The 14,994-nt window shown below is 40.5% G+C and overlaps 1 protein-coding gene across 6 annotated transcripts in view; it reads right to left on the bottom strand.

The window, feature by feature from the left end:
* Positions 1 to 14,994, bottom strand: part of TYW1 (tRNA-yW synthesizing protein 1 homolog) — a 242,682-nt gene that overhangs the window by 164,848 nt on the left and 62,840 nt on the right. For 5 of the 6 annotated variants that reach the window (NR_134540.2, NM_018264.4, XM_011516372.4 and 2 more), the window contains one exon: positions 7,264 to 7,382. The exons of the other annotated variant lie outside the window; for it this stretch is intronic. Coding sequence is in view for 4 of the 5 variants with exons in the window: in NM_018264.4 (NP_060734.2) it covers positions 7,264 to 7,382 (119 nt within the window). In the remaining variant the exon portion in view is untranslated. The remainder of the gene's footprint in view (positions 1 to 7,263; positions 7,383 to 14,994) is intronic. 6 annotated transcript variants of the gene reach the window in all.

Here is a 14,994-nt window from a genome sequence, read left to right as displayed (position 1 = left end):
ATCAATTTTTAATGAACCTTTTCTGACATTCTTGTTATATATTTCATTGAAACAGATGGCAAATTCTAATTTTAAAACCTCGTATATTAGTCCTTCTTTACCAGAAGCCATGGTAAATGAAATATCTCCATTTACTTAGATCTTTCTAAAAATCTCATTAAGGAATGTGTTAATGATACTGTTTGCTTTCCAAAACTCTGGGTAAATGTACTGCTCAAGAAACTGAAAGACTGCATTGTTGGCTATGAACAGGAAATTAAGATTAAGGAGCACTACCCATTAGATCCTGTTATTTCTTTTGAATTTTGACCTGTAAAAAAACCAACTACTTATGCCAACAATCTTAAGAAGAGATTAGGATTTATACTTAGTGTAAACTGTGAAACAAGAAAAACTAGGACACAAAATACTTGATTATTTGTCCTACAACCTAAGTATGATGTGATCCCAATACTTCAGTCTACATAATCATATGGCTAACATACTTTTGTCTTGCAAGCGCTCACCCTATAATATTTCAAACTCTGTAAGCACATACTCTATTCCTAAAAAGTGGTTTTTTGGTCACATTTTATTTCTTTTTTTTTTTTTTTTTGAGATGGAGTAGCCCAGGTTAGAGTGCAGTGGCGTGATCTCGGCTCACTGCAAGCTCCACCTCCTGGGTTCACACCATTCTCCTGCCTCAGCCTCCCGAGTAGCTGGGACTACAGGCGTCCGCCACCACGCCCGGCTAATGTTTTCTATTTTTAGTGGAGACGGAGTTTCACCGTGTTAGCCAGGATGGTTTCGATCTCCTGACCTCGTGATCTGCCCGCCTCAGCCTCCCGAAGTGCTGGGATTATGGGCGTGAGCAACCGCGCCTGGCCATATTTCTTTTTTTTTTTTTTTTTTTTTTTTTTGAAGAGTCTCGCACTGTCACCCAGGCTGGAGTGCAGTGGCATGATAGCTCACTGCAACCTCCACCTCCTGGGTTCAAGCAGTTCTCCTGCCTCAGCCTCCCAAGTAGCTGGGATTACAGGCGCCTGCCACCACGCCCAGCTAATTTTTTGTATTTTTTTAAGTAGAGACGGGGTTTCCCTCTGTTGGCCAGGCTGGTCTTGAACTCCTGACCTCGTGATCCGCCTGCCTCAGCCTCCCAAAGTGCTGGGATTACAGGCATGAGCCACTGCACCCGGCCTGGTCACATTCTATTTCAGTGCTGCCATGTTCCAGCAATACCCTTCACTGAAATAGTAACTGTAGACCATGGCACACAGGTTATTTCAACCTCAGCACAACTGCCATTTTGGACTAGATAATCCTTTGTTGCGGAGCACTGTCCTATGCATTAGGGAATGCTTAGCAACGTCCCCAGCCTCTACCCACCAGATACCAGCAGCACTCTCCTTGGTTCTAACAATAAAAAATATCTCGAGACATTGTCAAATGTTCCAAATCTCCGTATGGGACAAGAAATAGCAATTTTGCCCCCAGTTGAGAACCACTGATTTAACAGGATGACCTAAGAGATACTTGTAGTGTTTTGTTTTTTGTTTGTTCTTACCACATCTCGAGATAACTAAAAGAGGAAATACAAGTAAAAGAATATGGTATGGTAGCCCACGCCTATAATCTCAGCACTTTGGGAGGCTAAGAGGAGAGGACTGCTTGAGGCCAAGAGTTTGAGACCAGCTTGAGAAACATAGCAAGACCCTGTCTCTATAAAAAAAAAAAAAAAAAAAAAAAAAAAAAACTGGATAGGCATTGTGGCACAAGCCTGTAGCTGGAGTTACTCAAGTGGCTGAGACAGGAGGATCACATGAGCCCATGGGTTCAAGGTACCAGTGAGCTATGATTGCACCACTGTACTCCAGCCTAGGTGACAGGGCTTAATATGGGATGATAGTATTGTGGCCATATCATTTTTTAACAGACCTTATTATTTACATTTTACATGATCTGTCAGTTGAAGTATGTACAGATAAAACAATATGATGGCTAGGATTTGTATTAAAATAGGTAAATGGAATATGATTATCCATATGACGATAAATGTTCACCGAGGTTTAATATATTGTTCTCTCTCTGCTTATGTTAAAAAAAAATCTATAATAAGAATTTTTTAAAAGTGGGTAGAGAGGGGTCAGGCGCGGTGGCTCACTCCTGTAATCTCAGCACTTTGGGAGGCCAAGGAGGGCAGATCACAAGGTGAGGAGTTCAAGACCAGCCTGGCCAACATGGTGAAACCCTGTCTCTGGTAAAAGATACAAAAAATTAGCAGGGCATGGTGGCACGCACCTGTAATCCCAGCTACTCAGGAGGCTGAGGCAGGAGAATGGTGTGAACCCAGGAGGTGGAGGTTGCGGTGAGCCAAGATCATCCCATTGCACTCCAGGCTGGGTGACAGAGTGAGACTCCGTCTCAAAAAAAAAAAAAAAAGTGGGTAGAGGGGTTAACAAAGGTCTCAGTAGGTACATGAACAACTTGCTGTTAAGAAAAAAATTATAGTTGAGGTAAACAATACACAGCTGAATGCCTGGGAAGAAGAGCTAGGCACCAAGGCTAATGTGGTGAACTGGAGCACTGAAAAGCACCTGCATGCGCCTGGGATTTAGAAAGGCACACTGGACAGGAGACATGCTAAGAAGCGGCCTAGGAAGAGTCTAAACTTTCACCTCTGCCCGATCTTTAGGCTCAGCACAAGCAGGAAGCAAAGGCTAAGGCAGAGTTGTAAATGGCCTGGCTAAACATTAAAAGAGTGTTCCAGGCCGGGTATGGTGGCTCAAGTCTGTAATCCCGGCACTTTGGAAGGCCAAGGCGGGTGGATCACTTGAGGCCAGGAGTTTGAGACCAGTCTGGCTAACACCGTGAAACCCCGTCTCTACTAAAAACACAAAAAATTAGCCGGGTGTGGTGGCGGGCGCCTGCAATCCCAGCTACTCAGGAGGCTGAGGCAGGAGAATGGCATGAACCTGGGAGGTGGAGCTTGCAGTGAGCTGAGATTGTGCCACTGCACTCCAGCCTGGGTGACAGAGCGAGACTCTGTCTCAAAAAAAAGAAAAAAAAAATTAGCCAGGTATAGTAGCACACACCTGTAATCCTAGCTACTCAGGAGGCTGAGGAATGAGAATTGCTTGAACCCAGGAAGTGGAGGTTGCAGTGGGCCAAGATTCCACCACTGTACTACAGCCTGGGTGACAGAGCAAGACCCTGTCTCAAAAGGAAAAAAAAAAAAAGCGAAAGAAATGTTCCAAGACAGAGTCAATCTGCAAAGACTGGGAGAAGCTTTTTTTTTTTTTTCCAATTTTTTTTCTTTGGCTCCATGAGCTCAAGGAAATCTCTGTCAAATCATTAGCTGACCCCTGAGCTTAAGACACAGACTTCAGAGATAATATAAAACAAAGAATAAAATCTTTACAAATATAGTTTAGAAAACTCACTAAACAAACAAAACCCAGAGCAAGCAATAAAAAACAAACCCTGAAGAGTGAGAAAAATCTGACTTCCAGAGTTAACACATTCTAATAATCAAAATATGCAGTTTCCTTTTTTTTTTTGAGACGGAGTCTTGCTCTGTTGCCCAGGCTGGAGTGCAGTGGCGCGATCTAGGCTCACTGCAAGCTCCACCTCCCGGGTTCACGCCATTCTCCTGCCTCAGCCTCCCGAGTAGCTGGGACTACAGGCGCCCACCACCACGCCCGGCTAATTTTTTCTATTTTTAGAAGAGACAGGGTTTCACTGTGTTAGCCAGGATGGTCTCAATCTCCTGATCTCGTGAGCTGCCCACCTCAGCCTCCCAAAGTGCTGGAATTACAGGCATGAGCCACCGTGCCAGGCCAAAATATACAGTTTTCAACAAAACATTTCTTTGCATACAAACCATGCAAAGAAACAAGTGTGTATTCCCAGCATGTATTGGAAAAACTCTCCCTGAGGAGGCATAGGCATTAGACCAACTAAAAAAATACTTTAAGCCAACTATCTTAAACATGCTCAAAGAGCTAATGGAAACCATGGACAAAGAGATGAAGGAAACCAAGAAAACAATGTCTAAACAAATCCAGAATATCAATGAAGAGATACAAATGATAAGAAGGAACCAAACAGAAGATGTGAAAGAATAATAACTGAAATGAAGACTTCACTAGAGGGTTTCAACAGAAGATTTGAACAGGCCAAAGAAAAACCTCAGTGAAGTGGAAGACAAATCAATTTGGAATTATCTTGTCTAAGTAGAAAAAAAAAAGTGTGAAGAAAATTGAACAGAGCCTTAGGACACCATCAAATTGAAAAGAGCTGGGGGACACCATCAAGCATACCAACATATGCATAATAAAAGTTCCAGAAGGAGATAAGAAGGAACAGAAAGAACATGTGAAGAAATAATTATTGAAAAATTCCCAAATTTGGTAGAAGACTTGAATTCACAGAACTAAGAAGCTCAACATACTCTAAGTAGTACAAACACAAAGAGATCCATACCAAGATATGTTATAATCAAACTGTTGGAAGAATAAGACAAAGAAAGAAACTTGAAAGAAGCGAGAGAGAAGGCACTCATCACATATAAGGGATCCTTAGTAAAATTAACAGCCAATTTCTCAGCAGAAACCATGGAGGCCAGAAGGCAGTGGGAGAGCATATTTAAAATGTTACAAGAAAAAAACTGTCAGTCTAGATTTCTATATCTAACAAAACAATTCTTCAAAACTGAAGGAGACATTAAGACACTGATAAATAAAGGCTGAGGGAGTTCACTGCTAACAGACCTGCCCTACGATAAATACTAAAGGGAGTCCTTCAGACAAAAATGAAAGGACACTAAACAGACCCATATCATACAAATATACAAAGAACAACATAAAGGTAAAATACATAGGTAAATACAAAAGTCACCACTGTTGTATTTTTGGATTTTTGTTTGTGTTTGTTTTTCATTTGTTTGTTTTGAGACAGGGTCTTGCTCTGCCACCCAGGCTGGAGTGCAGTGGCACAATCAAGGCTCATTGCACCCTCCACCTCCCAGGCTTATGATCACCCCCACCTCAGCCTTCTGGAGTAGCTGGGACTTCAGACATGCACCACCATGCCCGGCGAATTTTTGCAAGTTTCGTAGAGACAAGGTTTCGTCATGTTACCCAGACAGGTCTTGAACCCCTGGGCTCAAATGCTCCACCCACCTTGGCATCCCAAGATGCTAGTATTACAGGCATAAGCCACTGCACCTGGCCAGTATTTTTGGATTGTAACTCCTCTATTTTTTCTCTTGATGATGTAAAAGACAAATGTATAAAACAGCAATTATAAATCTATGTTAATGGGCATACAGTATATAAAGTTGTCATTTGTGACAATGACATAAAGGAGGAGGGACAGAGCTGTTTATGGGCAAAGTTTTTGACTGCTATTGAGTCAAATAATATCAATTCAAAATAGTTTACCAATTCAAAATAGTCAATCCCATTAATATCTGATTTCATATTTGTAACATTGTCTACTTGCTAAAATTTATTTGTAACCCCCAAATAATCATAACAAAATCACCCCCAAATCAAGTTATTATAAGCATTTATAATAATCAAAACAAAATTTTTAGGAATAACTGGAAAAAAAAAGAATTATAACTCTTGTGCAAATATGGAGATAAATTAAGAGATGACATTGACTAGAAAGTATTAAATCATTTTGGTTGCTAAAGGAAGAAATAATGAGAATCTGAAACATAATCAATAGAATTAGATAAGCAAATGGATACAGTGGGTTTGAGAAAAAGAGAAGAAATGTCCAGTCTGGGCCATTAGATGGCTAATAGTGCCATTACCCAAAACAGAACAAGTTAACACAAGCCTAATAAATTCCATGATAAATACATTAAGCTTGAAATGACTGCGGATGATCCAAGAGAAGATATGCAACAGGAAATTGGAAATGGAGAAGGAAAACTCAGAAAAGAGACTGAGACTGGAGATGAAGTATTTAAAGGTGTCAAACTACAGATAAATGAAGCCACGGAAATGGTTTACTTCTCCTACCATCATAACACAGAGTCATAAAAGACAGCTGAAGGACAGAAGCAGAAAGAAGAGCTAACAGGGGAAACTGAAAAGAAACTGACAAGGGTGGGTGGGGTACTAGAAGAGACTGGTATCTCTGAATCCAACAGAAGGAGTGGCCTCCCCCTTCTTTCCTAGCATGCTTCACTGGAGTTCAACTAAGATAAGAATTAAGTAGCTTCTATTAGATCTGATAGTAAGGAAGTCATTAGTGACCACAACAACATGAGCTGCTATGGAGATGTGAGTTGGCATAGAGAACTAGGAGTTGAAGAGTAAGCAGTTCTAAGTGAAGGAAAGAAATGGGTTAGTAGGCTGGGTGCGGTGGCTCACGCCTGTAATCCCAGCACTTTGGGAGGCCAAGGCGGGCGGATCACCTGAGGTCAGGAGTTCAAAATCAGCCTGGCCAACATGGTGAAACCCCATCTCTACTAAAAATACAAAAATTAGCTGGGCATGGTGGTGCGCACCTGTAGTCCCAGCTACTTGGGAGGCTGAGACAGGAGAATCACTTGAACCTGGGAGGCAGAGGTTGCAGTGAGCCAAGATGACGCCATTGCCCTCCACCCTGGGCAACAAGAGCGAAACTCCATCTCAAAAAAAAAAAAAAGAAAAGAAAAAGAAATGGGTTAGTAGCAAGCACCACTGCCCCCAAAAAGAGAGAGACAGAATTGTGCAATTTAGCCATTTTCTTTCACTTAAACTATTCCCAATTGTTGTAAAAGACTCAATTCTGCATACAATGGGCTGTAACCAGCTGAAAAACAACATTCACTGCTTGTATTTCCAGCAAGATAAACTGAAAAGCCTCCAATAAAAAGACACCCAAGCTGACACCTTAGCATAAAATTAGTCATAGATAGAAAAAAAAGAAAACAATGTAGGAGAGCAAGATAAACAGAAAGCACAAAAGGATAGAATAAAAATAAACTTTTATCACTAATGTATCACTATTTATCGATAATCACTATAAATAAGACAAACTAAACTCACCAGTTAAAAAAGACAAACTGTCCAAATGGATGTTTACAAATCCAGCAATTCCTCACAGTGTTTGTCCAAGAGAAACAAAAATATTTGTCTACAAAATTTTTATACACTAACATTCACAGTTGAAAAGATTAATCACCAAGACAGCAGAGCTCTTAGGTAAGTCTGAGTGTGAGCTGGGCAGATTGATTACCACAGCTCATTACATATTCGATCACCATGACCTTTCATTTTTACTTACCGCCAACAGAAGACACATTTATTAGCACACGCCAAGCTCGGGGTGGTTTCCATGCAGCGATGGCTCTCAATTCCATAGAATGTGTGTTTGTAACAACCTCCTCTCCCTCGGAGCATGGACTATGACAAGTAAACAAATCACAATTTGAATAAAATTGTCAAAGCACAGAAACAAACCACCAAGGCATCATTTTTAAGAGAAACCATGTGTTTCGTAACCATGAATACTCCTACTGGTAACTGCATGACGCAGGAAATTCGCATCAGAGCATTTCAGTGTTTTGGCAGTGCTTTGGGTTTTTACTAAAGCCCAGTGAAATAAACCTATGATTCATTAACTCTGAAAACTCTACAGGGAGAACCACTAATGCTTTCATTTTCAAATCCATCAGACTCCTTCAAATAACATTAATACAATAATATATAATGCTAGGAAACAGATAAAACAGACTCCTAAAAAATGGGGGCTGTCTGCCTATGCAAGCATATCCCTGCTCTGAATAAAGAAGGATGGGTAAGGGAATGCATCCTGGAGTGTTGTTCCTTTGTTTTGTTTTGAGACAGGGTCTTGCTCTGTTCCTTAGGCTGGAGTGCAGTGGTACAATCATAGCTCACTGCAACCTCCAACTCCTGGGTTCAAGCAATCTTCCTGCCTCAGACTCTCAAGTAGCTGGGACTATGGGTGTGAGCCACCATGCCTGGTTATTTTTTAATTTTTTGTAGAGATGAGGTCTCACTATGTTGCCCAGGCTGGTCTTGAACTCCTGGTCTCAAGCGATCCTCCCACCTCAGCCTCTTCAAATGCTAAGATTACAGTTGTGAGCAAACCACTGTGCCCAGCCCTGGAGCATACATATTTGAGACATTGTGGAAGCAAGCAGCAGGTATACAAGAAATACATTATTCCCATTTCCAAAAAGATCACTATTTGATGATGCAAGGGATAAAAACAAATATCACGAGTCATATAAGTTGGTACATGTAGTAAGAAGGTAATCTAAAAAAATGTCTAGATCAACCAGGGTTGGAATCAAGATAATATCAAGCTTTAAAAGGTAAAATCAGATCTGTCCAGAGCTCTGGGTAAGACAAGCTTGATTTCAGTACAAGTGAAAGCAGTGAAGCCTGGGAGGAGGTTATGTGAGACAGGTAATGATGACTTTCTCCTAAGATCAGTGGGACAGGTAGGGTACTAAAGAAGTGAAATCAATGTCATTCCCCACTGAGGAGCAAAACAGAGGAAGTCATCCAAAATAACTGATTTTGAGGCCAAGTGACTGAAATAATATGGAATTAATAATACCAACAACGAACAAGGAGAAGGAAAGCAGAGACACGAATGAGTAGCCTTTACACGTGTATAGGGGTGTGGGTGTGTGTGTGTGTGTGTGTGTGTGTGTGTAGTCTCACTCTGTCACCTAGGCTGGAGTGCAGTAGTGTGATCTCAACTCACTGCACCCTCCGCCTCCCAGTTCAAGCGGTTCTCCTGCCTCAGCCTCCCAAGTAGCTGGGATTATAGGCATGCGGCACCACGCCCAGCTAGTATTTGTATTTTTTGTAGATACAGGGTTTTACCATATTGGTCAGGCTGGTCTTGAACTCCTGACCTCAAGTGATCCGCCCACCTCGACCTCCCAAAGTACTGTTATTAATATAAGCCTGTCCACAATGAAAGAATATTACATAAATGTCTACTAGCTTATTTACTGTCAGTTGACCATGAAGCCTTTTAACTATTTTTTGTTTTAATTAAAAAAAAAAAAAGTTTCCCTGTCCATATTAGTACTGCATTTGAAAAAAAGGTGTGAAGGGAAAACCTGTGCCTACAAACCTCTTCCAAGTTCCTAATAAAATGTACAAGGCAGCAAACAAAACATTCAAATCTTGTAAATAGCACTGAAAACCGAAACGTCCAACAAATGCCAGAGTCACAGAGTAATTTCCACAAAATCTCATGCCACTAGAGAAACAAAGCTGAAGAACTGTACACTTCAATCACTATTGATTAAGAAGTTAATACACTTTGTTCTGAACTGCCCTGTGCTCCCCTGTCCCATTCAGGTTGAAGTCCTAAACTTCAATGCAATGCAACGGCATGTGGATATAGGCTCTTTAATGAGGTATTTAAGGTTAAGTGAGGTCACGTGAATGGGACCAAAATCTGACAGAACTACCGTCCTTATAAGAACAGGAAGAGAGACCAGAGATCTCTCTGCATGTGCACAGAGGACAGATCATGTAAGGACTAGAGCCCATAAGATGGAAAAGCAACCAAGGTAGCTTCACCAAAGGACCAGTGAGAGCTTCCCAGAGGTGTGCGGTCCAAATCCAATACTGAAGGACTAAAAGGATTTTTCAAAAGGACTCTGTAAGACACAGGCATAGAAGCATGTGAGAAGAGGATGGAATGTTTTTCGTTTTAAAAAATGATGTCTCCAAATGTTTAAGTCTGTGATCCATTTTGAATTAATTTTTATATAAGGTGTGAAGTTTAAGACACTCTTTTTCGGAATTTGTTGCGGGGAGCAGTATTTGGGTCTTTTATTTTTTTCTGTTGGTTTTGGCCTATGGTTATCTAATTGCTCCAGCAGCATTTGTTGAAAATTTCACCATGGAACTTGAAATGGTTTGGCTGTGTCCCCACTCAAATGTCAACTTGAATTTATCTCCCAGAATTCCCACGTGTTGTGGGAGAGACCCGGGGAGGAACTGAATCACAGGGGTCAGTCTTTCCTGTACTATTCTTGTGATAGTGAATAAGTCTCACAAGATCCGATGGGTTTATCAGGGGTTTCCACTTTTGCTTCTTCATTTTCTCTTGCCACCACCATGTAAAAAGTGCCTTTTGCCTCCTGCCATGATTCTGAGGCCTCCCCAGCCATGTGAAACTGTAAGTCCAATTGAACCTCTTTTTCTTCCCAGTCTTGGGTATGTCTTTATCAGCAGCATGAAAACGGACTAATACAGAACAGCTTTTGCATTTTTGTAAAAACCCAGTTAAACATATTTTGTGAGTCTATTTCTGAGATCTCTAGTCTTTCCCTTGATTTATATGTCTATCTCTCTACCAGTAGTACCACACCATCTTGATAACTGCAACAATATAGTAAGCTACAAGATCAGAGTGAACTATTCTTCCCATTTCTGTCTTCTTTGTCAACATTGTTTAAGCTATTCTAGGGCCTGTGTCTTTCAAGTCTTGAATAAGTTTGCCTATTTCTACAAAAATCTTATTGGTATTTTTGTAAGAACTTCATTCAACCTACAGAATCAATTTGGGGAGAATTGACAGTTTATTATACTGAGTTTTCTAATCCATGAACATGGTATGTCTATTTGTTTAGATTTTCATTTATTTTTTATCAGCATTTTAAAAATTTTCAGCATCCAGTCCTGTGTATGTTTTGTTAAATGTAAATCGAAGCATATTACTTTCGTTGGAGTGACTGTAAATGAACTTTTTAGTTTTGGTTTTCATATGTTCATTGTTAATATACAGAATACGGCCAGGCACAGTGGCTCACGCCTGTAATCCAGCACTTTGGGAGGCTGAGGTGGGCGGATCACAAGGTCAGGAGATCAAGACCATCCTGGCTAACATGGTGAAACCCCGTCTCTACTAAAAATACAAAAATTAGCTGGGCTTGGTGGCGGGCACCTGTAGTCCCAGCTACTAGGGAGGCTGAGGCAGGAGAATGACGGGAACCTGGAAGGCGGAACTTGCAGTGAGCCGAGATCGCGCCACTACACTCCAGCCTGGGTGACAGAGCGAGACTCCGCCTCAAAAAAAAAAATACAGAATACAACTGATTTTTGTGCTTTGATATTGTATCCTGTAACCTTGCTGAACTCAGGTTCTAGGAAATTTATTTGTCATTTCCTTGAGATTTTCTACATAACAATCACGTCACCTGCAAAACAAGACAGCTTTATTTCTGCCTTTGCAACCTGTATGCATTTTCTTTTTCTTGACTAATTCCAGTGGCTAGAATTTACAATACTATGTAAAACAGGAGTGGTGAACACAGACATACTTGTCTTGTTCCCAATCTAATGGGAAAAGCATTTACTCTCTCATATTAGGTATGATGTTAGCTGTAAGAATTTTGTAGAGGTTAATATTCCTCTATTTCTAACTTGCTAAGAGTTTTTAATGATGAAGGGTTAGACTCTGCCAAATGCTTTTTCAGAATCAATTGATATGACTGACTGATATTTTTCTTCTTAGCATGTTTGATATGGTGGATTGCTTTGGTTTTTAAATGTTGAACCTGCCTTGCATACCTGGGAAAAATTCCACTTGGTTATGGCATATAATTCTTTCTATACTTGGCTGAATTCAATTTGCTCATATCTTGTTGAGGATTTCTACATCTAAATTCCTGAGAGATTAGTCTTTAGTTCTCTTTTAGTGCATTGTCTTTGTCAGGTTTTATCGGGTTACTATTGGCCTCATAAAATGAGTTCAGAAATGTTCCCCACCTCTTGTATTTTGGGGAAGATATTAAGTAAAACTGGCATTAATTCTTCATTAAATATTTGGTAGAATTCTTCAGGAAAACCATTGAAAACTAGGATATCACTTTGGGGAGGCTTTTAATTACAAAATCAGTTTCTTCAATGATTACAGGATTATTCCGATTATATATTTTGGTTGAGTTTTAATAAGTTACGGTTTTTGAGGAATAGATGTATTTCACCTAAGTTGCCAAATTTACTAACATAAAATTGTTTGCAGCACTCCCTTATCATCCTTTCAATCGCTGCAGGACCTGTAATAATATTGTTTCATTCCTGATACTGATGATTTGTGTTTTCTTTTCTTTTTTTTTTTTTTTGAGACGGAGTCTCGCTCTGTCACCCAGGCTATATCTGGGTGACATCTGGGTGACTGCAGATGGGCTACATCTGGGTGATTGCAGAAAACATCTGCAATCAGCTACATTCCAAAACTGCTTTTTATGGAAATGACTTCAACAAGTACTTTTTTTTTTTCTTTTAAGACAGAGTCTCTGTTGCCCAGACTGGAGTGCAGTGGTGCAATCTTGGCTCACTGCAACCTCCGCCTCCCGGGTTTGAGTGATTCTTCTGCCTCAGCCTCCTGAGTAGCTGCGACTACAGGCGCCCACCACTACGCCCAGCTAATTTTTGTATTTTTAGTAGAGACAGGGTTTCACCATATTGGCCAGGCTGGTCTCAAATTCCTAACCTCATGATCCGCCCACCTCAGCCTCCCGAAGTGCTGGAATTACAGGGGTGAGCCACCGCACCCAGCCCAACAAGTACTCTTGAACACATTTCTGATAATTTTAAGATCAATGGACTAAATGACAACTTCCAGAACTCTAATATATTTTAAAAACTGATTGGTGCATAAAACTGTTAATGGCCAACCTCACAGTACAACGGCACTGCTCCATAAAACTGCTAATCAAGATCAAGCAAAACTAAAATTTAATGACTTCAAATTAAGTAATTAATGACGATGATGTGTTTGTGACTTTTCATTTTTGGTTCTTTACTTAAAATATTTTGTCTTACAGATTTAAGACATTTTTCTCGCATAAGCTATCTATAGTATACAACAATTTGGTAAAGCATACTTTTGTGAACAAAGATGGAACCATTTGCTTTTCCTCCCTATTGGATTCCTCCCAAAATTCACCAACCATTAGTATTCTTATTTTTATTTATATAAATTCAATAAAAATCTGCTCTCAAGTAGGATACAATTAGAAATATAAACATCGGTTATATACCACCAAGGCTTTGGCTGAAATGTCTTATTTGAAAATGTGCATTGAATGCCTGGCTTCCAGAGTTCCCAGACTTCCAGTGAGTCAGTAAAAATGGTCACTTCCTGGAAGGCCAAAGATCCTTAAGATTGTACGTAAGATCTAAAATCTGCCCTGGTTTGGCTTCCTAGCTCAGGAGGTTTTTAAATCTGAGATTCCTGTGTGATCAATGTGGGAAGAAAAAGTTATGTCTCTATAGAAAAACTGTAATATACCTATTCTTATTACAGTTTGTAGCCCCGTGCATTGTTTTAAAGTTCTTGTTATCTACGTGTAGACTGGACTAGATTCTGAATTCTTCTAATTTCCTCCAATACTTGGTCACAATTCTCCAGCTGGCTTAAAAAGCTTTATTAGCTGAAACTAGATAATTTTTCTTTTTGAGATGGAGTCTCACTCTCTCGACCAGGCTGGAGTGCAGTGGTGCAATCATGATTCACTGCAACCTCCACCTCCCGGGTTCAAATGATTTTCGTGCCTCAGCCTCCCGAGTAGCTGAGACTACAGGCACACACCACCACACCCATCTAACTTTTGTATTTTTAGTAGAGACGGGGTTTCACATTGTTGGCCAGGCTAGTCTTGAACTCCTGACCTCAAGTGATCTGCCAGCCTTGGCCTCTGAAAGTGCTGGGATTTCAGGTGTGAACAACTGGTGCCCGGCTGAAACTGGATAAATTTTAAGAAACAAGCCTCATGTCTGATTTATGAACCACAAAAAAGGTTCACCCAACTGCCCAATGTCATGACCAAAGATATTCAAACTACAAACCAGAAGAAAAAGTTGCTATTTTCACACTGTAAACAGCTTTCTCCAAGAGGTTGGAATAAGAACTTCATATCATAATGAGACTTTTACTCCTCTTAATGCTACTTTTCTCACTTGGCAGACTAACAGTGTAATTGAAATTTTATAATCAATAGCCTCTGCTGGTGAGTTAACAAAACCTAACTTAAGAAATACTTTTGTATCGATTCATTAAATAAGAAAATGTCTGTGCTGTTTCTAATATTACAAGCTGTACCTGGATAAATTCCTCTGGGAAAGCTGAAACCCATATACACAAAACAAAACAGCTCATAGGGTTACAGCAGGTCTCTTCTAATTCCCTATGGTGATTTAACTTATTCAATTTGTTTTCTTTAAGCCTAGATTCACAACTCAAAGCCATTATGCAAACTGACATTGTCATATTAAGTTTACCTTTTATTTTCCCTTTCTAAACTTTGAATCTGGGCCAGGCACAGTGGCTCATGCCTATAATCCCACCTTTGGGAGGCCAAGGCGGACGGATCACTTGAGGTCAGGAGTTCAAGACCAGCCTGGCCAACGTGGCAAAACCCCGTCTCTACTGAAAATATAAAAATTAGTTGGGAGTGGTGGCAATTGCCTGTAATTCCAGCTACTCCAGAGGCTGAGGCAGGAGAATCACTTGAACCTGGAAGGCAGAGGTTGCCGTAAGCCAAGATCACGCCACTGTACTCCAGCCTGGGCGACAGAGTGAGATTCAGTCTCAAAAAAAAAACATAACTACAGGGCCGGGCACGGTGGCTCACACCTGTAATCCCAGAACTTTGGGAGGCCAAGGCAGGTAGATCACTTGAGATCAAGAGTTCGAGACCAGCCTGGCCAACATGGTGAAACCCTGTCTCTACTAAAAATACAAAAATTACCCAGGCGTGGTGATGCATACCTGTAATCCCAGCTACTCAGGAGGCTGAGGCAGGAGAATTGCTTGAACCCAGGGGGCAGAGGTTGCAGGGAGCCGAGATCACACCACTGCACTCCAGCCTGGGTGACAGAGAAACACTTTGTCTCAAAAAAATAAATAAATAAAAATAACTACAAGATGAATGATCAGTCATGCTTTCTGAGAAAGATCTTGATCAAAAGGAAGAAATGTAAAAGTTGTCAAAATCAGAATGGAATCACTAAT

Source organism: Homo sapiens, chromosome 7 (genome assembly GCF_000001405.40).
Source record: "Homo sapiens chromosome 7, GRCh38.p14 Primary Assembly".
Lineage (NCBI taxonomy): Eukaryota > Metazoa > Chordata > Mammalia > Primates > Hominidae > Homo > Homo sapiens.
The sequence above is the reverse complement of the archived record's forward strand: the minus strand, read 5'-3'. Positions and strand labels throughout refer to the sequence as shown.